Source organism: Homo sapiens, chromosome 5 (genome assembly GCF_000001405.40).
Source record: "Homo sapiens chromosome 5, GRCh38.p14 Primary Assembly".
Lineage (NCBI taxonomy): Eukaryota > Metazoa > Chordata > Mammalia > Primates > Hominidae > Homo > Homo sapiens.
Genome location: NC_000005.10, coordinates 80674928 through 80702780, shown reverse-complemented (window position 1 = coordinate 80702780; position 27853 = coordinate 80674928). Strand labels below are relative to the sequence as shown.

At 36.0% G+C, this 27853-nt stretch overlaps 1 protein-coding gene across 1 annotated transcript in view, besides 1 other annotated feature; it reads right to left on the bottom strand.

Moving 5' to 3' along the window:
* The window catches only part of MSH3 (mutS homolog 3), a 222164-nt gene that overhangs the window by 174035 nt on the left and 20276 nt on the right, over positions 1-27853 (bottom strand). Inside the window, exons 7-8 of the mRNA NM_002439.5 lie at positions 27653-27798; positions 23688-23854 (exon numbers count right to left, since the gene is read on the bottom strand). Of these exons, the coding sequence (NP_002430.3) occupies positions 23688-23854; positions 27653-27798 (313 nt within the window). The remainder of the gene's footprint in view (positions 1-23687; positions 23855-27652; positions 27799-27853) is intronic.
* Positions 27044-27244: a silencer, noted in NCBI's record as "peak5310 fragment used in MPRA reporter construct". NCBI's record gives its function as "represses an SCP1 promoter by STARR-seq MPRAs in K562 erythroleukemia cells {active_cell/tissue: K562}" and the evidence as "EXISTENCE:reporter gene assay evidence [ECO:0000049][PMID:32103011]".

Here is a 27853-nt window from a genome sequence, read left to right as displayed (position 1 = left end):
CTCAGCCTCCCAAAGTACTGGGATTACAGGCGTGAGCCACTGCACCCAGCCAGCTATTTTTTTTTTTAAATAAATTATTTCAACCTTGTTTAAACTTTGCTTTCATTGAGGAATGTATTTTCCCCCAAATCTGTCTAGTTAAGTGTTACCTGTCTTTCTAGGCCCATCTCTTGCATACAGCTGTGCTACTGTCTATAAAACTACATTGCCTTATACAGTAGCTACTAACCACATGCAGTTAATGAGCACTTGAAATGTCATGGCTGGACACAAACTATCTTAAATATGCCATGCGATACCTAGCACTCCTCTGCTCCCAGTGGCTCCCACCAGGTAAGGACTAACCCTGTGGTGTGGTCATGCTCCCATATGGCCATCAGGGAGGCATGCAAGCCCACTCATCATGCATTCTTCTCTAAACTTGCCTTCACATTAAGGTTGGGGACAACCCAGTACACCCACATGGTGTGTTCAGGATTCATGTCCACTCCCATGAGGTGCAGAGCCCAGCTCAGCCAGGCCAAGAAGAGAACTGGACAGAGCTGAAGGTATAAAATAAGGGAGCAGTCACAATGGCACCAAGGGAAAGAATCCTAGGACCTGGTCACGGAGCATTCTGGACTGCAGTGGGGAGCTTCCACAAAAGCCTGGAAAAAACTCAGTATTGTGTATATTAAGTCAATTTATATTAATAAATTTTATATTAATGTATATTGATTATTGATACAAAATCAAGTATCAGAGGGTTTTTGGGTTTTTTTTGTTTCTGTTGTTTTTTCAGAAAGAAGGGTAGAAAAAGAAGGGAGGGAGGAAAAACTGTACAGAAAAACCATACCAGGCCTCCATAGGCTTTTACTGCTTTAGGGATCAAGACTTGGGCCAGAGGTTAAAAAGGATTCACAAAAAAGCTGGCAGGAGGAAGAAATTCCTGGCCTGAAAACAAGAGATAAGAAAATAATCTCAAAGCAAGCAAGCAGGGAAAATAAGAGAAATTAGTAAGAAGTCTCCCTTCAGCAGGGAGGTTCGACAGGAAGAAGTCATTACAAAGACAAATGGACAAGAAGGAGTCCACAAAGGCTGGGAGATAAGCAAGCCCAGAGGAGCTCTGAACTAAGCTGGCCTCAAGTTTTTGACTTCAGGTAGAAAGTGAAAGGAAGCTTTGCTGGAAGGGAAGAGATTAAAAGGGATCTCTCCTTGAACCATGAAAAGGAGAAGAAAAAAATAAAGAGATCCTGAGGACAGACAGTAACTGTATTTGGAGTTCAGTGAAGGGGGATTTTTGTCTTTTACATTGCTGTCAGGTTACACCTTAATGATAGCAGGTGAACTCACCAGTATCAAACAGGGTTAGGGCTCTAGTGGGCTTTGCCACTTACTACCTAAGTGATCCTGTAACTTCAAGAGAGGTTCACAGCATCTCTGCCTCCTTGCAGAAAGAAGAGGATAACTACACTTTCTTCAGAGGGCTGTGCCAGGGTTATTGAAGCCATGAACAATGTGTCTTCAAGAATGATGGGACTCAATCTTTCCCTTCATCTCCTGTCTTTCCTTTTTCTTCCTTTCCATTTACCCCCTACCTTGCAACTCGTACTGTTTCCCTTTGCCTTCACCTGAAATAATAAAGACTACTTTAATATTTAGTGTAGGATTTTTTTAAGATGCTAATAATAAATCATTTAAAAGCACTTTTAATATATTAACATTTATAACACAAACTTCTGGGAAAAGCCATGAGGACAAGACGCTTTAGCTAAATAAAGAGTCTTTATGCAATTAAATCCTCAAACCCAAATGAACAGGTGTATTTACAAAAATCAAGTCGAATTAGTAAAACAAATGCAGCACACCTCACACAATTGCTTCCAAACTTTCTGTTCAAGCAGTCTGGCCCCACTTTAGGAGGTCTCTGTAGTAATCAGGAAGATCTTTTCTCCACACTTCTCAAATGCTGTTTCTTCCTATTCGACTATCAATAAACCTACTGCAAATACACCCCATTTTTTCTTTTCAAGGAGATATATTCCTGAGGAGAATGCACTTGATGAAAATGCACAAAGAAGCTCTCATTCTTTAAATAAACTCATGGCAAATGTTCTTATAAAATAACTATCACCTATTAACTTATCATGTTTTAAAATCTGGATTTTCATGAGTTAAGCACATCCATTAAAATTGCTAGCTAGATATACAAAAAGTATCAGGACTAAAAAAAAAACCTACTGAAAATACAATGGCATTACCACCAGGGAAGAAATTAATGTAATTTTTAAAAAGAAATTTCAAAATGACAGATTTTTTAATACTAATAACACTTCCTCTTTAAATGGTTTCCCAGTGGCAAACATTTTCCTACAGCATATGAGATTTATTTCTTCCATTTAGTCACTACCATCTCTACTACCAGAATTGATTTGTTCTGTCGCCCAGACTGGAGTGCAGTGGGGAGATCTCGACTCACTGCAACCTCTGCCTCCCAGGTTCGAACAATTCTCCTGCCTCAGCCTCCTGAGAAGGTGGGATTACAGGCACGTGCCATCATGCCCAGCTAATTTTTTGTATTTTTAGTAGAGATGAGGTTTCACCATGTTGGCCAGGCTGACCTTGAACTCCGGACCTCAAGTGATCCACCCGCCTCAGCCTCCCAAAGTGCTCGGATTTTAGGCATGAGCCACCCTGCCAGGCCCACAATTTATTTTCTAATTCTAGATTATCTAAATAGTTAAGTGAAACTACCGTCTAATAAACATAATGAAACAGAATGACAAAGTAGTCAACTTTATATTTATCTTCTGCTCTCGAAAAGAGGAATGAGGAAAATGGGGAAGACAAAATATAAAGAAAAAAAGAGATTTCCTACGAATACCACAACAGAAAAGGTTTCAAGCGCCAGAGGGGAGGCTAGTGCCTAGTTATCATCAATATCAATCTTTAAACAGTAACTTAGCCATGTAGATCCCATTAATATTTGCTGTAAAGGAATATCTATGGAAATGTCAGGATGCTTCAATCAATTTACAGTGATATTAAAAAATTTTTTAAAGAAATAAACATAATGGGGAAAAAACGATAAGAAATCAATATGATCTTTCCAAAAGAGTAAATGAATTGGCTACATCTGTATAATGTAAATCTATATAATGTAAATAGACATTGATTACCATATATGTTAATGTATAGATTTCCAGCTACTCCAACAACCTTTTTTTTTTTTTTTTTTTTTTTGGAGACAGTGTTGTACTCTGTTGCCCAGGCTGGAGTGCAGTGGTGCAATCTTGAATCACTGCAACCTCCACCTCCCGGGTTCAAGCCATTCTCCTGCCTCAGCCTCCCAAGTAGCTAGGATTACAGGTGCTGACACCACACCCAACTAATTTTTGTACCTTTAGTAGAGGTGGGGTTTCACCATGTTGGCCAGGCTGGTCTGGAACTCCTGACCTCAGGTGATCCACCCATCTCGTCCTCCCATAGTGCTGGGATTACAGGTATGAGCCACCACGCCCAGCCTTACAACAACCCTTCTATGTTTAAAAAACCCAAATCAGTTTTGTTAAGAAAAACAAATAGGAGATACCCATTATTCTCTTTATTCTAAACATCACTTATTTAATCATTCATTTACCAAGCATTTATTAAGCACCTATTATGTGTGAGCTACTTTGATAGGTGCTGGGTACACAAAGGGTCACTAGGCTACGGTCCCCATCACCAGCCATCTCAGCTCAGTCTCTGTCACAGGAAACTCTTTATCCAGGCCCTGTGTAATGCCGCTTTCTCACTCCACCGTTTCACTCTTGATTCTCTTTTTATTTTTTATTTATTTGTATATTTTTATTATACTTTAAGTTCTAGGGTACATGTGCACAACGTGCAGGTTTGTTACATATGTATACATGTGCCATGTTGGTATGCTGCACCCATTAACTTGTCATTTACATTAGGTATATCTCCTAATGCTATCCGTCCCCCCCACCACCCCACAACAGGCCCCCCGGTGTGTGAGGTTCCCCTTCCTGTGTCCAAGTGTTCTCATTGTTCAATTCCCACCTATGAGTGAGAACATGCGGTGTTTGGTTTTTTGTCCTTGCGACAGTTTGCTGAGAATGATGGTTTCCAGCTTTATACACCCTTTCTCTCCAAAACACGTCTGTCCTGCCTCAGGTTGCCTGCTCATGCTGGCAGAGTAACCCAGCCAAACTAGTTTCTGCTTCCTAAGAAAAGCACGCTCTCTCACACCTCCACCTGACTGGCATTCATTCTTCCAGTCTCAATTCTAACACACCCCTCTAGCAAACTAGCATGATGCTCAAGGGCTGCCAGTAACTCTAAGATATTTTCAACCAGCGCTTTCATTACAATTATTTCCATGACTACCTCCCCTCTAGACTATAAGAACTTGGAAAGGAGGGATCTTTCTCATTTCTGTATCCTTGCCACCTAGTAACAAAGCTGGCGCACAGCAGCCACTCAATAACTGTGTTTAAGGATGAATAAATGAATGACTGTATAATAATGTTCAACTTAGAAGATGTATCAACAACTTGAGAATCTACTGGAAACATCCATCAAAATGCAGATTTTGGCCAGGCGCAATGGTCCACGCTTGTAATTCCAACATTTTGGGGAGGCCAAGGTGGGTGGATTGCTTGAGCCCAGGAGTTTAAAACCAGTATAGAAGACATAGAGAGGCCTCATCTCTACAAAAAAAATTAGCTGGGTGTGGTTGAGCACACCTGCAGTCCCAGCTACTCAGGAGGTTGAGGTGGGAGGATTGCTTGAGCCTGGGGGGTCAAGGCTACAGTGAACCACGATGGTGCCACCATACTCCAGCCTGAGGAAGAGTGAGACCCCGTCTCAAAAATAAATAAATAACATCGATTTGTTTGATATAAAAAAATCAATTAGAATTTCCTGGTATCCAATTTAATAAAATAAACTTGACAGCAGGATAAAATACCTTTAAAAAGGTGAGCTACTATAAAAAATGGAGTAACTCATCTTAAGAGAGCTTAAATGTCCTTTCTGGGCTTCAAATTCATCTATATTTCTCTACATCTCAAGTTTGGATTTTTTTTCATTCAAACAATGGTCCCACTTATACTAGATTTAGCTTACACAATCTAAATGACAAGTGGCAGAAAATGTGACACACATTGCCTTTACAATTGCTCCAACATGTTTCCTTAACTTCAGTCATTCCCCTTTACCTTCAATAATACTGACATATTTGTAAGGACATCACTACTATAACCTGATAGTTCTTGTTAAGTTAACTCACATTTTTAACTCAAATACCAACTTAAGAATCTTTCTTTGCAACACATTTATGAAATCACAGGTTTGATTCACTGATTATATGTTTTTAATATACCTTAAGTAAATATTTAACTATGAAGGTAAAAAACGTTATTTGTGAAGCACTTAAAATTATATCAGGTAAGTAAACCAGGTGTAACTTGGCTCCAGCTGCCAACACCTTGTATAACTCAGGCACCTTTCTTATGGCAGGGCCATTCCTCTGTCAACATAAGACTCTGCACGATTTCTGACCTCTGGGCTCTCTGAATCCACTTGGTATGGAGGTTCCTTCAAATACTTTTAATTTTTAACTTTGATGCTTTTCTGTGGGTGATAAACAAGAAAGGGCAAGCTTCGTAAGAAGGAAATATGAACTAATCATCATGACAGCACTCTGATGGAGAGCTGGCAAAATTTTCCTATAAATTTTTGTATGCTTAGATTGTTAATTTGCCAAGAAAAGGGATAGAATTTTCCCCACTGGTTGTGCTTTTAAAAATATACTAACATTCTTAAACTGTAAACAGCACTAAAAATATTAAAAGCAGTTTTTTAATTATAAAAAATAGGATTTTCTTTTTCTCAATCAGATTCACCCATGTGCAAAATTCAATTCTATTGCAGTTAAAATTTGCACACTGGCATTATCAATATAATCTAAGTCCAAATTTTATTATAATTAGATCAAAATAACACCAAGGAAGCAAAGTTCATTTATACATAGAGCAATCTCTAAAATAAGATCTTGATTGAAGAACTTCTGCTTCTGGGAAGAAGGAATGGAGATATGTTTCCCCACTCCTACTCTAAGTACCACTCCCTGCATATTACATGTCAAACAAACATAAGACGACTCTGAAAGGTGAGCAGAAAGCAGACCAGCTAGTGAACTTGGGATGTGAGGAACAGTATGACGGTGAGTTCCCCAGGTTTACTTTTTGTAGCATAAAACCCAGACTTGGAGCTGAAAAAGCTGACAACCCGGAAAGACCAACAGGCACAGACAAAAAAGCCTCAACAAACCCCCAGAGAAGAGGAAGCCTAGCAAGACAGAAAACTTTTAGCCAATAACCGCTCTACTCTAGCCAAGCATCAGAGAAAAACCTGTGGTCCCACCCATGCTAGCAAAGGCTGGGACCCCAGATTTCCATTCTCACTGGTGAAAGAAGGCACTCCAAACTCCAGTTGGGATTGTGTCAGTGTCAGCCATACAGTAGCAAACAAGAGGTTCATCCTTGCTGGCCAATACTGAGGCTTTAACCCCCATGGTATCAGGCGAAACACCAGACAGAGACTGGACTTCCACACCCACTAGGCAGTACTGAGACTCCCTTCTCACTCCTTACGGGGATGGTGTCAGAGAAGGCCCAGTGGAGGCCACATGGGAAGCTGGAACTCCTCCAGGGACCCAGCAGTAACAAGAAGCACCCATCTCCCTCGGGTTTCAACGGAAACCAAGCAACCTGGGTTTCTACCTCCACCTGGCAATAAGGAGGCAGCACACCCCTACCCTGCTGAAGCAGTGTCAGGGAAAGCCAGCTAGAACAGAAGGCTTAAATGAGACCCAGAATCTCACAACATAATACAAAAAAGCACTGGTTCCAACCAAAAATCACTCATCATACCAAATAACAGGAAAACCTCCAAACCTCCAACTGAATGAAAAAAGACAATCGATAGATGCCAACACCAAGATAACAGAGATGTCAGAATTAACTGGCAAAGCTTTCAGAGCAGCCATGCTAAATGTTTTAACAGCAATTACACACATGCTTGAAACAAATGGAAAAATAGAAAGTCAAGGCAAGGAAAAATTCTCTGCAACGTAATAGAAGGCATAAACAAAAAAATGGGCCGGACACAGTGGCTCACACCTGTAATCCCAGCACTTTGGGAGGCTAGGATGGGTGGATCTCCTGAGGTCAGGAGCTTGAGACCAGCGTGGCCAACATGGCGAAACCCCATCTCTACTAAAATACAAAAATTAGCTGGGCGTGGTGGCAGGCGCCTATAATACCAGCTACTAGGGAGGCTAAGGCAGGAAAACTGCTTGAACCCGGGGGGCGGAGGTTGCAGTGAGCTGAGATCATGCCACTGCACTCCAGCCTGGGCACAAAAGCAAAACTCTGTCTCAAAAAAAAAGAAAAAATGAACAAAAATTTTAGAAGTGAAAAATATAATAACAGTGGATGCACTCAACAGCACAATAGAGGAAACAGATGAAACAATCAGTGAAATGAAAAACAGAACAATAGAAATTACCAAATCTGGAAAGCAGAGAGGATACAGACTGCAATAAAAATAAAATGAATAGAGCCCCAGGGACTATAACAAAAGATCTAACATTCTTGTGATCAAAGTCCCAAGAGGAGAAAAGAAAGGCAAAAAAAAAAAAAAACAACAAAAAAAACACCACCACCAACAACAAAAACCTTGAAGAAATAATAGATGAAATATTCACAAATTTGGCAAGAGACATCAACTTTCAGATTCAAGAAGCTGAGTGAACCCCAAAAAGGATAAAGCCAAAGATATATGTTCCATGACACATAATTAAACTTCTAAAAACTAAAAAAAAAAAAAAAAAAATTCTTGACAGCAGCAAGAAAGAAATCATACCTTAGCTATAGGGTAAAACAATTTGAATGATAGTAGATTTCTCATCTGAAACCATAAAGGTTAGAAGGAAGTGGCAAAATATTTTTCAAGTGCTGAAAAAATAATTGTCAACCCAGAATCCCATGCCTGGCAAAAAATATCTTCCAAAAAATGAAAGGCAAATCAAGGCATTCTCAGATGATGAAAAACTAACAGACTCTGACACAAGCAGAGCTACTCTAAAAGAATGGTTAAAGGAAGTTCTCTAAACAAAAAGGAAAAAATAAAAAAAAAGAAACCTTAGAACATCAGGAAAGAAACAGCAAGGTAAGCAATAGGAACCCCTCCTGAGTTTCCTAAATTATGTGTGATGGTTCAAGGAAAAATTATAACGCTTTCTAAATATTTAAGACAATTATAATATTTAAGGTAATTATATTATAAATGGGGGAGGATAAAGAAGCATAGACAGAGGTAAAGTTTTTATATTTCACTCAAACTGGTAAAACAATGACACAAGTACACTGTGATAAGTTATGTATATATAATGTAATACCTAGAGCAACCTGTAAAAAAGCTACATGACTTACTAATTACTTCCTTTGATTTGTGCTTTTTGTGTATGTCATTTATAGGATATCTTTTCAGATCCTGAGGTAATGAATACATATATATTTTCCAACTGAAATTTTCTGTATGGTCTGAAGTAGGGTTTAATTTTACAGTATGGAAAGCTGTTTGTCCCTGCAGCATCAGTTGAATAATCCCTCCCTCCCAGGATGTCTAATGCCATCTCTGCCATATGAACTTCCTATGTATGCATGAATTTGTTTTCTCCATCTTTCTTCTGCTCCATTGCTTCATTTGCTACTCTCTCCATATGCCAATTCCATACTAACTTACCATTGCTTTATAAGTTTCGAGTTTTGGCCAGGCATGGTGGCTCATGCCTGCAATCCCAGCACTTTGGGAGGCCAAGGCAGGAGGATCATTTGAGGTCAGGAGTTCGAGATCAGCCTGGACACTATGGTGAAACCCCATCTCTACTAAAAATATGCAAAAATTAGCCAGGCGTGGTGACACATGCCTGTAGTCCCAGCTACTCGGGAGGCTGAGGCAGGAGAATTACTTGAACCCAGGAGATGGAGGTTGCAGTGGGCCAAGATTGTGCTACTGCACTCCAGCCTGGGTGACAGAGTGAGACTCCCATCTCCAAAAAACATATATATATATGTGTTTGTGTGTGTGTGTGTGTGTGTGTGTATATGTGTGTGTGTATATATGTATGTTTATATATATTTATATACATGTGCATATATATTTATATAAACACATACATGTGCATATATATTTATATAAACATATACATGTGCATATTTATATAAACATATACATGTGCATATTTATATAAACATATACATGTGCATGTATATTTATCTATATAAACATATACATGTGCATGTATATCTATATAAACATATACATGTGCATGTATATCTATATAAACATATACATGTGCATGTATATCTATATAAACATATACATGTGCATGTATATTTATCTATATAAACATATACATGTGCATGTATATTTATCTATATAAACATATACATGTGCATGTATATTTATCTATATAAACATATACATGTGCATGTATATTTATCTATATAAACATATACATGTGCATGTATATTTATCTATATAAACATATACATGTGCATGTATATTTATCTATATAAACATATACATGTGCATGTATATTTATCTATATAAACATACATGTGCATGTATATTTATCTATATAAACATATACATGTGCATGTATATTTATCTATATAAACATATACATGTGCATGTATATTTATCTAAACATATACATGTGCATGTATATTTATCTAAACATATACATGTGCATGTATATTTATCTAAACATATACATGTGCATGTATATTTATCTAAACATATACATGTGCATGTATATTTATCTAAACATATACATGTGCATGTATATTTATCTAAACATATACATGTGCATGTATATTTATCTAAACATATACATGTGTATGTATATTTATCTAAACATATACATGTGTATGTATATTTATCAAACATATACATGTGTATGTATATTTATCTAAACATATACATGTGTATGTATATTTATCTATATAAACATATACATGTGTATGTATATTTATCTATATAAACATAAACATATACATGTGTATATATATATCTATATAAACATATATAAACATATACATGTTTATATATATTCATCTATATAAACATATACATGTTTATCTCTCTATATAAACATATACATGTTTATCTCTCTATATAAACATATACATGTTTATCTATCTAAACATATACATGTTTATCTATCTAAACATATACATGTTTATCTATCTAAACATATACATGTTTATCTATCTAAACATATACATGTTTATCTATCTAAACATATACATGTTTATCTATCTAAACATATACATGTTTATCTATCTAAACATATACATGTTTATCTATCTAAACATATACATGTTTATCTATCTATCTAAACATATACATGTTTATCTATCTAACATATACATGTTTATCTATCTATCTAACATATACATGTTTATCTATCTATCTAAACATATACATGTTTATCTATCTAAACATATACATGTTTATCTATCTAAACATATACATGTTTATCTATCTAAACATATACATGTTTATCTATCTATCTAAACATATACATGTTTATCTATCTATCTAAACATATACATGTTTATCTATCTATCTAAACATATACATGTTTATCTATCTATCTAAACATATACATGTTTATCTATCTAAACATACTGTTTATCTATCTAAACATATACATGTTTATCTATCTAAACATATACATGTTTATCTATATAAACATATACATGTTTATCTATATAAACATATACATGTTTATCTATATAAACATATACATGTTTATCTATATAAACATATACACGTTTATCTATATAAACATACATGTTTAGCTATATAAATATATACATGTTTATTTATCTATATAAACATACATATATATTTAGATATATTTATATAAATATATAAACATATATATGTACATATATAAATATATATATACACACACATATATATGTAAGTTTTGAGTTTTGATAGGGCAAATAGCTCTAAGTCTTTCAGTGCTGTCTTACTTATTATTGGCCCTTTGATCTATCTTTTTAAAAGCAGCTTGTCAGTTTCTGTGAAAAACCTCATTGCCCTTTTGATTAGAATTGCACTGAAAAACATCTCTTGTACCCTACTATGTACTCACAAAATTGTTATTTAAAAAAAAAAAAGAATTGCATTGAATTTATATTAAGGAGAACTGATATCTTTATGCTGAATCTTTCCATTCATGAACGTGTTGCATCTTTCCAGTATTTATTTAGTTCTTTAATATCTTTCAGTAAAGTTTCCAAATTTTCGTTAAGACCTTATTTTCTTTTTGGTAAATAGAGTCTTAGATAATATTATTGTGGTTGCTATTTTAAATAGTATCTTTTAAAATTTTTTTCATTTTCTATTTGTTGCTGCTGTACTGAAACACTATTCATTTTTATAAACTGATCTTATATTTAATGGCATTGCTGAATTCTTATTACTTCTGATAATTTGTCACTTCTAGATTTTCTATGTAGGCAATATCTGGTCTGTGAATCATGTCAGCTTTAGGATTTTAAATACGTAGTCTAAATATTAACTACTTTTCAGTTGTGCTATTCAAAAATATATTTCTGGGCAGTATCTGATCAGTTTCAGGTAATAAGAATGTATATATAAAATAATCTATGAATAACATTTATTAATCATATTAATATATTAAATTATGAGTTTAATTATTTTCATGGACAATTACAAACATGATAGGAATTGGAGAGAGGATTAGAAGGCATATACAGACAGATTATCTATAAACAGATAAAACTGAAAAAAAGGAATTTCATGAAATACTTACCCTTACTACACGTGATATACTCTGGTAACTTCTACTGTATTTTTTTAAAATGTTAGTCACAACCTACCGAACTGATTTCATGATCTTAGGTTAAGGTCTTAGATCAACTGGATTATCAGCTTTTAAAATGAATATTGCTACGTGCTTCAGTTTCTGCATTTCTGTTTATGTTTAAGATCACATTAGTAATAAGGAGCACTTAACGGTTAAAGTTTAATGAGAAAAATAAAACAGTAGTTTTAAAATTGAACTGGATGGCTAGGTGCAGTGGCTCACGTCTGTAATCCCAGCAATTTGGAGGCCAAGGCGGACGGATCATTTGAGGTCAGGAGTTCGAGACCAGTTTGACCTACACAGCGAAACCCCTACGAAAATACGTCTCTACAAAAATACAAAAATTAGCCGGGTGTGGTGGCGGGCGCCTGTAATCCCAGCTACTGGGGAGTCTGAGGCAGAAGAATCGCTTGAACCCAGGAGGCAGAGGTTGCAGTGAGCCAAGATTGTGCCACTGCACTCCAGTCTGGGTGACAGAGCAAGACTTCCTCTCAAAAACAACAACAACAACAACAAAAATGGAACTGGTACACTGGTACCCAACGGAGGGCAAACCACTTAAGTCATACTGTGGTTTGAAGAAAGAAAAAGACTGGAAGATGCTAAATGCAGTCGCTCATGCCTATAATTCCAAGAACTCGCAAGGCTGAGGTGAGAGCATCACTTCAGGCCAGAAGTTCGAGACCAGCCTGGGCAAAATAGCCAGAACCCATCTCTACAAAATTTTTTTTAAAAAATTAGCTGTAAGGGGTGGTGCATGCCTGAGTAGCCAGGACTACAGGTATGTGCCTGATTAGTATGCTGCTCAGGAGGCTGAAGTGAGAGGATCTCTTGAGCCCAGGAGTTCAAGGCTGCAATGAGCTATGACCGCACCACTGCAATCCAGCTTGGACAGCAGAGCGAGACCCCTACTCTTTAAAAAAATCATGCAGGAAAGGTTTGAGCCTTTACACAGCATATTACAGCAATATCATAGCACAGGATCTGGTGGAGAATACTGATGATATGACACTTTTATTCTGTACCTTACTCTCAACTTTGCTGTGAGCCTCAAACTGCTCAAAATAAAATAAAATAAAATAAAGATCAAAAAAAAAAAAAAAGAACTCGGTCTTCCGTTGGGGATATATCCCCTTGAACTGGTAGGAACAGTTTATTTTTAGCAGCAGAACATCACCCTTCATACCAAACAATCATTCATTTATATTTTATTTGTTTCATACATTTACTTTAATCTCAAATTTTGCTTGGACTTTATTCCTGTTAAAATAGGTATAAAACCTAGAGCACTAAGTTTTCAGTTTATAAATATTTAAGTCACATTATAATAAAACTAATTTAAGTGAAATGGGTGAGGAGGTTAGCAAGAATTATTTTTTCCTTTAAAATAGACTTTTTTCACTTTTACAACAAACATGTATTAACTTTGTAAATTTTAAAATTATAATTTAACAAATTTAAATAAGAAAATTCTAACACAAAGTAGTAAATTAAAAGGTTGGTAGGCCAAATTTGAGAAACATCTAAATAAAGTATAAGCTCCTCCCACTAGTGCCCAGCCAGCATCCTCAATGAAACAGCTCCAGTCTTCCTCTCTGGCCTTAAACATAATCATTCAGCAAATACTCACTGAACAGCTCTTCTGCACTACATTCTGTTGCAGGCTACTCTTGACCCATATTTTCCTAACACTCCAGTCAACTCGATGTTCCCAATTCCCTTTTCTCATCCTGTGACCACACTTCCTGGAATGCCCTCTTTCTACCCAGTCCCACCTTCCCACCTAATTTAGGCACCATGTTATTCATATCTATATGCTACCCACTGTTTGGTATGCCATTCCACATTTACTTGGCTCTAAATATCTAAGAATTATATTGAAATGACTTCATATGAACCCACAGAATTGAGCTTATTAAACTTTGATAGAACTGTAACACTGCAATCACGAAATTGGTACCATCAAGTACCGACCACTTAATAACATTTCGTATGTGTGAAGCACTTCCTCTTAACCAAATTAATGAGTAAGACCTGTTGTTTCTTTTACTCTCATTCTTTAAAAAAAAAAAAATTGAAACCTTTATACTAATGTTTAATTCAAATGACATTAGAAAGAAGTTGGACTTCAGTCATAACACAGATACCTAATTTGCATAACAATTCCTCTGATAATTATATAGTCTCACAGTTATCACTTCATTTTGGCACCAAAACTCTGCTAAATATTTTCCATTAAAAACTTGAAAGTCAAAGTACAATAACATAAAGTAATAAGTGATTTCTACTATATAAATTAATTTAATAAGAGATGAACACAAAATGAAAATGCTACTATGGTAATTTCAAACACGTGTCACCATAAGTGACATTCAGGTGGTACTATGCCTCCGCATAAAGAATCATGTTAGATAATACTTTTGGTTAAACCTCAGATGATGTAAGGCTCTCTGTGGCCAAAAAGACATAATAATAAGGTATTTCTAACACTGAAAGTAAACATAGTAGAGGTTATTCTTATTCCCCAACATTAAGATTTCAATGTTTTCTTTAAATCTGCAGCATACACATCTATCTTTGAGGAAGCACTTATGTGTTCAAGCATTTATTTCAAAGGTCAGATAGCTAAAGTCACTGTGGTACCACAGGACATTCTTCCACATGTCTTTTTCAAATGATATCAATGAGCTAAGGCTAGTTTTTAACCAAGTATCTTTCTGAATGTCATACAGTTTCAGTAAACTATAACAGAGTCAATAATGTAAAAAATTAGCTCACATCATTGGTTATACCACGTGTGACAAATTATAACTACACATCCCTACCTTGTCCTGGTTCTCCACCTAGCTCTTTAATTCCTCCCCTTCTGTTTGTATTCTTGCTCCTATTCCCAACTATTGGCATTCTCTAAGCTCCTTGATCTGATTCTTTTCTCTGTATCCGCTTTTTCCTTTAGGGAAATATTTATTTTTAAAATTCAACTGTCCCATCTAGGCAGTACACTCATCTCTTCCCTTCTATCATGCCATTCCTTTTCCCAGAAACCTTACTGCCTTCTACAGGAATCCATACCAGTTTGCTGGATTTCATAGGCCTTCACCCTTTCTTTCTCAATTCTCAACATGAAAGTTCCCTCTAATCAGAGAAATCTCCCTTCTGTCTTCACACTTCTCTAATATTTCCAGCCTGTGTGCCTCAGACCTCATATCATTTCCATACACACACAACATACCCTTCCCCCCTCCCCATTACCAACTCAAAGCCTTCTATTCTGCAAATGTACCAGCCTACCCCACCTCCTTCATACAGCCTTCCTTGGCTATGCCAGTGCTCAGGAAGCTCTCATTTCTTTGAACGCAAAATTGAGTGTCATTTGTGATGTTCACCTGATTCACCTGAAAAGTCAGTTTCCTTGAGAACTAGTAAATATTATTTGTTTATCGCTTTCTAAAGCTTTCCTCTCAACCATTTCTATAAACATACAACATTTCTAAGCTAAAGCAACCTTAACTGCAATTGATAAAGGGCTCGAGACTATTGCTTTCCATTTGTTTCTTTCTCTACATTTTTACAACAAAAGAAAGTGTAACAAGATAGTAAGACTGATTCCCTAAGACACAGGCTGAAATCTTACAAACATACTTTACATAAATAAAAATAAATAATCTAAGAAAAATTGATAGTGTATCATTATTTAGGAGTAATAATTTTAGATTACTATCATCTCTAATATTTGTTCTAAGTCACAATATGATACAAAGTAAATAAACCTGTACTTTCAGATATAAAAAGAAATGTGAAGATTTTAGTAACCATTAAACAGTAATTCACAAAATATCAAATCCTTTGGAGACCTCTTGTGGTTAAAGTTAAGAATACCAAAAACCCTAATATTTTAAGATAGACACTCCACAATTCCAAGCCATTCTTTTGCCTTTCCTCACACAGCTTTAACATATTATGTCTTCAAAATTAATAAAATATTATTAACCAGTAACTGACAAAAACTGCTGTTTTTACCTTTAGGTATATAGCATAAGAAAAAAATGGGGTACTTAGTCTGAGATACAAGAAACTACTTACCAGTGTTTAAAACAGACAAGAAGATATCACCAAAAACAAAACAAATTTTGTACTTGCAAATTTAATACTGTATTGTTTACTGGTTGTAAATATGGAAACAAAGAAGGTCATTATATAATGACAAAGGGGTCAATTCAGCAAAAGGATACGATAATTGTAAATATACATGCCTGAGGCAGGCGGATCACTTGAGGTCAGGAGTTCGAGACCAGCCTGGACAACATGGTGAAACCCCGTATCCTGTCTCTACTAAAATACAAAAAAAATTAGCCAGGCGTGGTGGTGCACGCCTGTAATCCCAGCTACTCGGGAGGCTGAGGCACGAGAATCGCTTAAACCCGGGAGGCAGAGGTTGCAGTGTACTGAGATCATGCCACTGCACTGCCCCCTGGGTGACAGAGCAAGACTCTGTCTCAAAAAAAAGAGAGAGAAAAAAAATAGCAGCTGGATACTTCAACACCCCACTTTCATCATTGGACAGATCTTCCAGACAGAAAATCAATAAAGAAACGTCAGACTTAATCTTTACTACAGACCAAATGATCCTAATAGATATTTAGAGAACATTTCATTCAATGGTTGCAGAATACACTTTCTTTTCCTCAGCATGTAGAGGATCTGATCATTATAGCATGAATGATCTAAACATTCTCGAGATTAGATCATATGTTAGGTCACAAAACAAGTCTTAAAACATTCAAAAAACTGAAATAATATCAAGAATCTTCTCTGACCACAATGAAATAAAACTAGAAATCGAAAACAAGAATAATTTTGGAAACTATACAAACACATGGAAATTAAACAATATGCTCCTGAATGGCCAGTGGGTCAATGAAGAGATCAACAAGGAAATTTAAAAATTTCTTGAAACAAATGATAATGAAAACACATACCAAAACCTATGTGATACAGTGACGGCTGTACTAAGAGGGAAGTTTATAGCTAAAAGCACCTACATGAAAAAAGAGGAAACATTTCAAATAAATAACCAAATGATAAACCTTGAAGAACTAGAAAAGCAAGAGCAAACCAAACCCAAAATTAATATAAAATAAAAATAAAAATCAGAGCAGAAATAAATGAAACTGAAACAAAGAAAATACAAAAGATCAACAAACCAAAAGTTAGTTTTTTGAAAAGATAAAATTGGTAAGACTTTCCCAGACTGTGAAAAAAGAGAGAAACCCCAAATAAACAAAATTAGAGATGAGAAAGAAGACATTACTACTGATACTACAGGAATTCAAAGGATCATTAGTGGTTACTATGAGCAACCATATGCCAATAAATCCGAAAATCTAGAAGAAATGGATAAATTCCTAAACACACACAATCCACCAAGATTGAACCACGAAGAAATCCAAAACCTGAACAGACCAATAACAAGTAACGAGATTGAAGCCATAATAAAGTCTCCCAGCAAAGAAAAGCCCAGGACCCAATAGCTTCACTGCTGAATCCTACCAAACATTTAAAGAACTAGACCCATTTTCCTCAAACTATTCTGGGAAAAAAAAAAAAAAAAAAAAAAGGAGAATACTTCCAAACTCATTCTACGAGGCCAGTATTACCCTGATACCAGAATGAGACAAATTCATATCAAATAAAGAAAATTAGAGGCCAATATCTCTTGATGAATATTGATGCGAAAATCCTCAGCAAAATACTAGCAAACTGAATTCAACAACACATTAAAAATATCATTTATCATGACCAAGTAGAATTTATCACAGAGATGCAAAGACGGTTCAACATATGCAAATCAGTCACTATGATACATCATATTAACAGAATGAAGAAAAAAAAACACATAATCATTTCATTTGATGCTGAAAAAGGATTTGATAAAATTCAACAACGCTTCATAATAAAAACTCTCAAACAACTGGGTATAGAAGGAACATACCTCAACATAACAAAAGCAACATATAAAACAGACCCACAGCTATTATCATACTGAATTGAGAAATATTGCAAGCCTTTCCTCTAAGTACGATAATGATGCCCACTACCACCACTGCTATTCAACATAATAGTCCTAACTAGGGCAATCAGACAAGACAAAGAAATAAAGGGCATCCAAATTGGAAAGGAGGACGTCTAATTATTCTTGTTTGCAGATGAGATGAACTTACATTTGGAAAAACCTAAAGACTACCAAAAAACTGTCAGAACTGATCAAACAAATTCAGTAAAGTTGCAGGACACAAAATCAACATACAAAAAACCAGCAGCATTTCTATATGCTAACAGTGAACAATATGAAAAAGAAATCAAAAAAGTAATCCCATTTACAATAGCTACAAATAAAATAAAATATCTAGGAGTTAACCAAAGAAGTGAAAGATCTCTACAATGAAAACTATAAAACACTGATGTAAAACATTGAAGAGAACACACAAAAAAGGGAAAGATATTACATGTTCATGAATTGGAAGAATAGTTCAAACATCCATACTACCCAAAGCAATCTACAGATTCAACGCAATCCCTATCAAAATATCAGTGACATTTTTCACAGAAATGGAAAAAATTAGCCTAAAATGTATATGAGCAACGAAAGACTCAGAATAGCCAAATATATCCTAAGCAAAAAGGACAAAATTGGAGGTATCACATTACCTGACTTCAAATTATACTACAGAGCTATAGTAACCAAAATGGCATGGTACTGGCATAAAAACAGACACACAGACCACTGGAACAGAACAGAAAACCCAGAAATAAATCCATACATCTACAGTGAACTCATTTTTGACAATGGTGCCAAGAACATACACTGAGGAAAGAATCTTTTCAACAAATGGTGCTGGGAAAACTGGACATCCATATGCAGAACAATGAAACTAGACCCTATCTCTCACCATATACAAAAATCAAATCAAAAATGGATTAAAGACTTAAATCTAAAATGTCACACTATGAAATGACTAAAATAAAACATTGGGGAAACTCTCCAGAACACTGAACTGGGCAAAGATTTCTTAATAGGGCAACCAAAGCAAAGATGGACAAATGGGATCACATGAAGTTAAAAAGCTTCTGCACAGCAACAGAAACAATCAACAAAGTGAAGAGACAACCCATGGAATGGAAGAAAATGTATGTAGACCACCCATGTGACAAGGGATTAATAACCACAATATATAAGGAGCTCAAACAACTCTACAGGAAAAATCTAATTATCCAATTTAAAAATAGACAAATTGAATAGACATTTCTCAAAAGAAGACATACAATGGCAGCCTGGTATGTGAAAAGCTCTCAACACCATCGTTCATTACAGAAATCCAAATCAAAACTACAATGAGATACCATCTCACCTCAGTTAAAATGGCTTTTATCCAAAGACATGCAATAATAAATGCTGGTGAGGATGTGGAGAAAAGGGAACCCTCACAGACTGTTGGTGGGAATGTAAATTAGTACAACCACTATGGAGAGTAGTTTGAAAAAAAACTACCAAAAAACTAAAAATAGAACTACCACATGATCCAGCAATCCCACTGCTAGATATATACTCAAAAGAAGGGAAATCAGTATATAGAAGAGATATGTGCACTCCCATGTTTACTACAGCACTATTCACAAGAGCTAAGATTTGCGAGCACCCAGGTGTCTGTCAGCAGACAAATGGGTAAAGAAAATGTAGTACATATATACAATGGAGTAGCATTCTGCCATGAAAAGGAATGAGATCCTGTCATTTGCAACAACATGGATGGAACTGGAGGTCATTATTTTACATGAAATAAGCCAGGCACAGAAAGATAAACTTTGCATGTTCTCACCTACTTGTGGGAGCTAAAAATTAAAACAACTGAACTCATGGAGATAGAGAGTAGAAAGATGGCTACCAGAGGCTGAGAAGGGAACTGGGGATGGTTAATGGGTACAAAAAAAATAGAAAGAATAAGACCTAGCATTTGATAGTGCAACAGAATGACTACAGTCAAAAATCATTTAATTGTACATTTTAAAATAACTAAAAGAGTATAATTGGGTTGTTTGTAACACAAAGGATAAATGCTTGAGGAGATGGATACCCCATTTACCCTGATGTAATTATTATGCATTGTATGCCTGTATGAAAGTATCTCATGTAACCCATAAATATATACATCTATTATGTACCTACAAAAAACTTTAGCCATGCCTGGCTAATTTTTGTATTTTTAGTAGAGATGGGGTTTCACCATGTTGGTCAGGCTGGTCTCGAACTCCTGATCTTGTGATCCGCCTGACTTGGCCTCCCAAACTGCTGGGATTACAAGCATAAGCCACTGCGCCCAGCCACAGAAAATTTAATTAAAATATAAAAAAAAAAACTTCCTCTTACAGAGAGCCTTCTACAGCAGGTACTATTTCAGGCGCTTTACCTATATTAACTTATTTAATCCTCACAACAACCCCATGAGGTAAGCACTCTTAATACCCCCAATATAAAGGACACTGAAGGACAATACAGTAGATAACTTACTCAAAGTCACTAAAGGGAAGAGCTAGTTTTCCAACTCAAACCCTGAGTCACAAGAGTCCACACTGTTTGACCCCTGCTAACTTTTGAATTTCCTCTACTTCATTCTGTCCATAGATATAAATTAGCTGTAGGAACTCCACAGAAATGCAGATTTAACTTTTGACTTCGCTTAGTCCAATATGCAAATAAAGTGAAAATGATCAAAGGATACAAAAAAAAGTGCAAAGATTGAAAAATTACACACGGTCAGTAAACATAGAGAAAATTATTTACAATGCTAACTAGAGAAATTCAAATTAAAATAAGACAAAAGCAGGCATTAAATTTGGTAAAACCCACATAAGACACCTAAATTATCTTTGATATGCCAAATTCAAGCTTTTAAATCTCATGTGATGAACAAACATTTAGGAATATCACCAGTCAATGAATGCTGCTTGACAAACAAAAATTCACTTTTGACAATGTCATTATGAAATATTTTGATATTTTATTGAATTTCGCCATTGTTATTTTATAAAATTAAGCAGAAAACAAAAAAATGAATGTGTTGATAAAATTGATTGACTTTACTCAATCTAAATTAATAAAATATATACTAAGTTAATAAAATATATACTAAGTTAATAAAATATAAAGAAAAATGAACTAAATCAAAGACAGGAAATCATAATTTATCCATTTATCATAATTTATCATAATTTATCCATTCCATTTCTATATTCATTTTTTCAGTATTACAAATACTGTTATGATGAATATCCATATATAGAAATATTCATGTGCATTTCTGATGATTTCCTTAAGATAAATTCCTGAAAATGGAATTAACTGGATCAGAGGGTATGAATGTTTATAAAGCTCTTGATCACCATTTCTCATATTACCATTTCTAGCAAGGAAATGATAGGAAATATTGAAAATACAATATAGAAGCCTACCTTTAAAAATTTTTTTCCAGATTTTATTAATTTTTTTAGTTCTGTAAAAGCAGCTCTCCTTACAAGTTTACTGTTTGACTTTTAATTATTCAAGTTTGAACACATGGTCAGAAAAGGATTAAGATCAAAATGAAGAGATTTGATGCAAAATTTTTCATCTATGTGACTGGCAAAGATTATTTAAATGATCACCCTCAATGTGAGCAAAGGTTCAAAGAACCCTCCTAGACTATACTGGTAGAAGTATAAATTGATATTACCATTTCTAGCAAGCAATCAAGAGCTTTATAAACATTCATACCTTCTGATCCAGTTAATTCCATTTTCAGGAATTTATCTTAAGGAAATCATCAGAAACGCACATGAGTATTTCTGTATATGGATATTCATCATAACAGTATTTATAATACTGGAAAAATGAATATAATAAAAATGGAATGGATAAATTATGATACACTTATATGACAATGTCATGTACTTATTTTGTTTTTAAGGGTACCTACTGAAATATTAGAGGATAAACTGATGCTCCCTAGGATTTGCTTCAAAGCCAATAATCAAGGGAGAGAGAAAAGGGGAGGGAGTGTAGAAAAATGAGAATGGTCCTGAGAAATGCTGAAGCTGGCTAATAGAGTGACAGGAGTTCATGACACTATTCTGTATAATTTTGTGTATGTTTGAAATGTTCTGCAATAAAGTTTTTAAAAATGGGGAATTGTAAAGTTAAAAAAAAAAAAACCACAGAATAGAAAAGTGATTTTGCAGCAGGAATGCAAGTTCACAAATGGAAAAAAGTGATATACACACACGGAAATAATGTGCCAAAATGTTTAACAGTCATTTTCTCTGGGTTACAGAATTCAACTTATGAATTTATCCTTTTTTTTTTGTCTTCTGAATGAACATATATTAGTTTTATAATCAGAAAAACAAATTATGAAAGCTACTTCGAAAGAAATTAAATTCAAATGAAAATGAACACAACACTAAGGACAAAGAAACATATGGAACTTCACTTAATCAATCAGTTTGATTTTCTTTTTTTTTTTTTGAGATAAGAGTCTTGCTCTTTCGCCCAGGCTGGAGTGAAGTGGTGTGATCTTGGCTCATTGCAACCTCTGCTTCCCAAGTTCAAGCGATTATCCTGCCTCAGCCTCCGGGGTAGCTGGGAATACAGGTGTCTGCCACCACACCCAGCTAATTTTTGTATTTTTTTTTTTTAGTAGAAACGGGGTTTTGGCCAAGCTGTCTTGAACTGCTGACCTCAGGTGATCCACCCGCCTCAGCCTCCCAAAGTGCTAGGATTACAGGCGTGAGCCACCGTGCCTGGCCTCGATTTTCTAAATGATTTGTCTACCTACTACATGAAAATCCTCATGGGCTTCTCTGCCTAGTCCAAAGTCCAAATTCGTCAATATACAGTCTACTTCGCTGAAGCCCCAGCACACCTTTCTGGTCTCTTTCCCACCACACTCCAGGTGGCAGTACGGAGTCTTTCCAACAAGGCACCTTCACGTTTAGCACTTAATACATCATGCCTTTAAGTCCAGTTAGGTATGCACACATCTGACTCTCATGTGAGGTTGTAAACTCTGCCAGACATATATCATAACCACATCTTCTTCCTCTGTACGCACAGCGCCTAGCACACTGCTTCATACGTAAGTGGTCTGATCTTAGATCCAGTAAACAAAACCACTGGACACAGCCATGAATTGAAACTTGCAGCACAGACAAAGCATCTCCAAAGTTACATAAACTTTGTAAGAAGTGAACTCTAAATTATCTCTAGAAACTGAAGATTACCAATAATTAAATATCATAAACCCCATAATTATCAAATAATATCATTAAATATCAGAAACCTCTTCAAAAAGACTGCCTTCTAAAGTTCTACATTAAGGTGATAGTAGGGGTAGGTGGTGTTTCTTCTATTTGTTTTTTAGATATGAGATCTCACCTTAGTTGCCCAGGCTGGTCTCAGATTCCGGGGCTCAAGCAATCCTTCCTCCTCAGCCTCCCAAGTGGCTGAGATTACATGCATGTGCCACCATGCCCAGCTTTGTTGTTTTACTTTTTTTTTTAAATTTCCACTACTACAGTGGAAATATAATTTTTGTAAGTAAAAACTATTTTTAGCAACTTTAATAAGTATCAGTTTTGGAACTAAACCTAAGTTTCAGAATCGGTATTATATTCCAGTGATGTGCCAACTTACCTAACAGATGTGGCTCTGTGGATGAGCGCCTCTGTTTGCTCGGACAAGGCCGAAGGAAGCAGCAGCTCTACTGGCTGCAGGCTTGACATCCGGGTTTCTAGCTCTGAACGAGAAGCAGAGTCCTGGAAACTATCAAACACAACCTCGCCTGTGGCAGGCTGCACTCCCTAAAAACAAATACAAATATAATGTTACAGAAAAAATGTATTTCCCCAGTTATGGCTATAACACAGCATAAACATGGAAAAAGTAAAGATGATACACTCAGGAGTATGTATGTACTCTATTTCTAAAGTGTTAGAAACCTGTCTGCTTTTCAGGACTCTTACACGAAGAGTCAGACTCACAGATATCTAAATGATACTATAAATCAGATTTCCGAGAGCCGCCCTGAATACAAGGCCTGGAGTTAATATACCTAACGGAGTGACTATGGCAAGTTACCAAACACTGCCAGGCCTCAGTTTCTTCCTCTGTAAATGGAACCAAACCAGCCTACTTCTCTCATAAGGTTATTGTAAGGATCAAATTATAAAATAAACAGGAATTATTTGTAAACTATAAAGCACTGTACAAATAGTAGTTATCACTCAAAGTAACAAGTGACATGGTCCTAGTAACCAGACCACCAGTACTGTAGTAAATTACTACTTCATACATCAAAGTAACACATAAAATGTATACTTTATCAAACTCTGAATGAAGCCCAAGTAGACAGTCTATCCAGTAGAATAATCATGCCAACTTGAACCTGCTCCCTAACATCCTAAGCCAATAATAGCAAAGATAAACTGGAAAAGATCATGGTTTGGAGAAGTGATAGGAAGTTTCTAGCCAAGGTCCCAGAGTGACAATGGAGTAGAGTCAAGATTCAAACCCAGGAAATCTGACTACTCCCCAATCCACACTGTTAGCCACTACGGATGCTTATGAAAGCCATGGGGGCTAGTTACAGGCTGCATTAGCTAAAAAGAGGAAAAATCACCAATCCCTATGTTCATATACTACTGATGGAAAGCCACTTCTGACAACAGCAAGGCATTATCTAGGAATGTTGAAGTATCCACACCCTATAATTCAGCAATTCCTCCCCCAAGGATATACTCTGGAGAAACTCAGGCATTTGTATACGATACAAGACATACAAAAATATTTACAGCAGCATTCTCTGTACAACTGTAAACTAGAAAGAATGCACATGTCCATCAACAGGAATGAATAAACTGTAGATCATAAAATGAAATAGGAAAAGGCAATGAGAGAACTACAGCGACACATGTAAATAAATCTCACATACAAAATGGTAAACAAAAGGAGCAAAACCCAAAAGAATACACACACTATATTTACATTTGTATATAACGTTTAAGGTGGCAAGGCTGGAACTAGAAGCTCCAACTAAAAGCAAGGAAATTATCATCTTCAAAGTCTGGATTACAGACACCTCTGGAGGGAATGGACACCCAGGGATCTTATGGGTTGGAGGCAGTGTTATAGCTCCTCTAACTGTAATTAAGGAACATCCTTAATTCTAGCCCAGAGGCTTTCTCTAGAGCCTAGAGAGATGGACTATCAGTACATAAGGATACACATGTAAATTTATATACCAATCTACAAACCAAGCATTTACAAAAACCAGGTACAGATGTTAAAGTAACAAATTTTTCAGTCAGCCAAATTCCCTTTTTCTTTAATCAGAGAAATGGTCTACACTGTAATACCCACAATATCTATCACCCTGTGTGATATGTATCACACTGAGAAACCTAAAATCAGTGTGTATAAAACTGCACTGCCCAGACTGAAGGCACAGAGCCTGACTGCAGTGATACTACAACAGCAAAGCCCTTTGAATTTCAGACTAATTACCAATACTCAAAAGGTGACTCCCAGGTACTGACCAGGCAATGAGTGACACCCATTGTGACAGGGAAAACAGTGTCGAGGGTAAAAGAAGATAAGATCAATTTTGGCCACACTGAGTTTGAGGAGCCAGAGTAAATTCTAAGTATCTCTGTTCAATAAAAATTTGGATGCAGGAGCCTGGAGCTCGAGAGAGGTGCAGCCTGGACCCAGAGCTCAGGATGTCATCAGCCCAAAAGTGGTTGCTGAAGTAAAGGACAGCCCCAAAGAAAATGCTTGAAGGGCAAACGGCTGTTTTCATTTTTCCGAGTCCCAGTTCGCACACATGGTTAACTCTGGCGGTAAGCCAGATGGTATTTCTAAATGCACTAAGTAGGAATTATATACTATCAACTCTGTTCTTTAGAAGGAGTTTTAGGTAAATATAAAATAGCACATTACATATGTTAAAGCTTAAAAGTAAATAACTTTACTATTTGTATATAGGTCCAAATGCCTGTAGCTAGATAAAACGTGCTTCTCAAGGATAAAAATATCATTTAGAGCTGTCTAACACCAACAGGAATGCTAACTCTCTGAAAGAAGGGCTTATTGGTTAAGCAAATGTCAAGTTAACACAGAGTTATGCAGTCAAAATAAGGTATTAAAAGGCACATTGGAGACATTCAGATGGTAAGAATTTTTGTTGATATTGCCACTGACCGTAGAAATTAGAAAAAGCAAAGAGAATTAGTTTTCACTTGGACAGAGTTCCATTTGTGCTTAACTTACAACAGAAAAGGGGTGTCTGATTGTTCTGAAGGGCCTTAAAAAGTCTAAGACCTTTAGCAGAGTCCACGTAAGTCTGTAAATGAGCAAATTTATTCATAAACTGCCAGAAAATCAATAAAACTATGAGTTGGCCAGGCGTGGTGGCTCACGCCTGTAATCCTAACATTTTGGGAGGCCGAGGTGGGCTGATCACCTGAGGTCAGGAGTTCAAGACCAGCCTGTCCAACGTGGTGAAACCCCATTTCTACTAAAAATACAAAAATTAGCCTGGTATGATGGTGGGTGACTGTAGTCCCAGCTACTCGGGAGGCTGAGGCAGGAGAATTGCTTGAACCTAGGAGGCAGAGGTTGCAGTGAGCCAAGATCACGCCATTGCACTCCAGCCTGGGTGACAAGGGTGAAACTCCGTCTCAAAGAAATAAATAAATAAAACTATAATTCACAAATTACATTTATCTAGAAAACTGACTGTAAATAATCCTAATATTAATTTAGTATGGTATTTTATATCAGCCAATTATCATTTCTCTTTAACTATCCCCTCCTCCAAATCTAGATATAATACCATAGTCATTCATGTTTAATTTCAAATCCCTAGAGGAAATTTATAGAACACTTTGCCACCATGCTTGTGTTGGCTTAGTGTTTTATTCTGCTATCTGTACATTGTCCACACATATGTCTGCCATTGTGTCTATCTTCAACCTTAAAATCTCAGGGCACATGGACCAAGACCATCTGGATCTCTCCATAGCATAGAGTATTGATATGGTTTGGCTGTGTCCCCACCCAAACCTCATGTTGAATTGTAATCCCCAATGCTGAGGGGGAGACCTGGTGGGAGGTGATTAGATTGTGAGGCCAGATTTCCTCCTTGCTGTTCTCATGACAGTTCTCACAATATCTGGTTGTTTAAAAGTGTGTAGCACTTCCCCCTTCACTCTCTCTCCTGCTAGCCTTGTGCTTGTGAAGATGTCACTGCTTCCCCTTCGCCTTTCGCCATGATTGTAAGTTTCCTGAGGCCTCCTCAGCCATGCTTCCTGTACAGCCTGTGGAACCATGAGCCAATTAAACCTCTTTTCTTTATAAATTACCCAGTCTCAAGTGGTTCTTTATAGCAACGTGAGAATGGACTGCTACAAGTACCAAGTAGCCATGAGAAAATTGTAACTAGCGATTTAACATATAATATTGTGAGAAAAATGTTTTTCTTGTATAATTATCTGAAGGTACACTTCATCAGATATCCTTATTATAAACCATACATGATAGATCATATTTAGAGATACCATGAACATCTAACATTTGTTCCTCACCTGCAAAGTACTTACCACAATGCCAATAAAAATGTTGCCCTTTTTTTTGTCCCTAACATTTTCCTTATTTTCAGAGATGCACAGAAGATAGCTGGTAGAAGTATCAGTCATTATCTCATCAACATTTACAGCATCATCCAGCTTGATTAGGGGATTCACATTTAATAATAATTAAAGAAAAATAATTATATGCTAAATTCTAAATCCTAATATGCT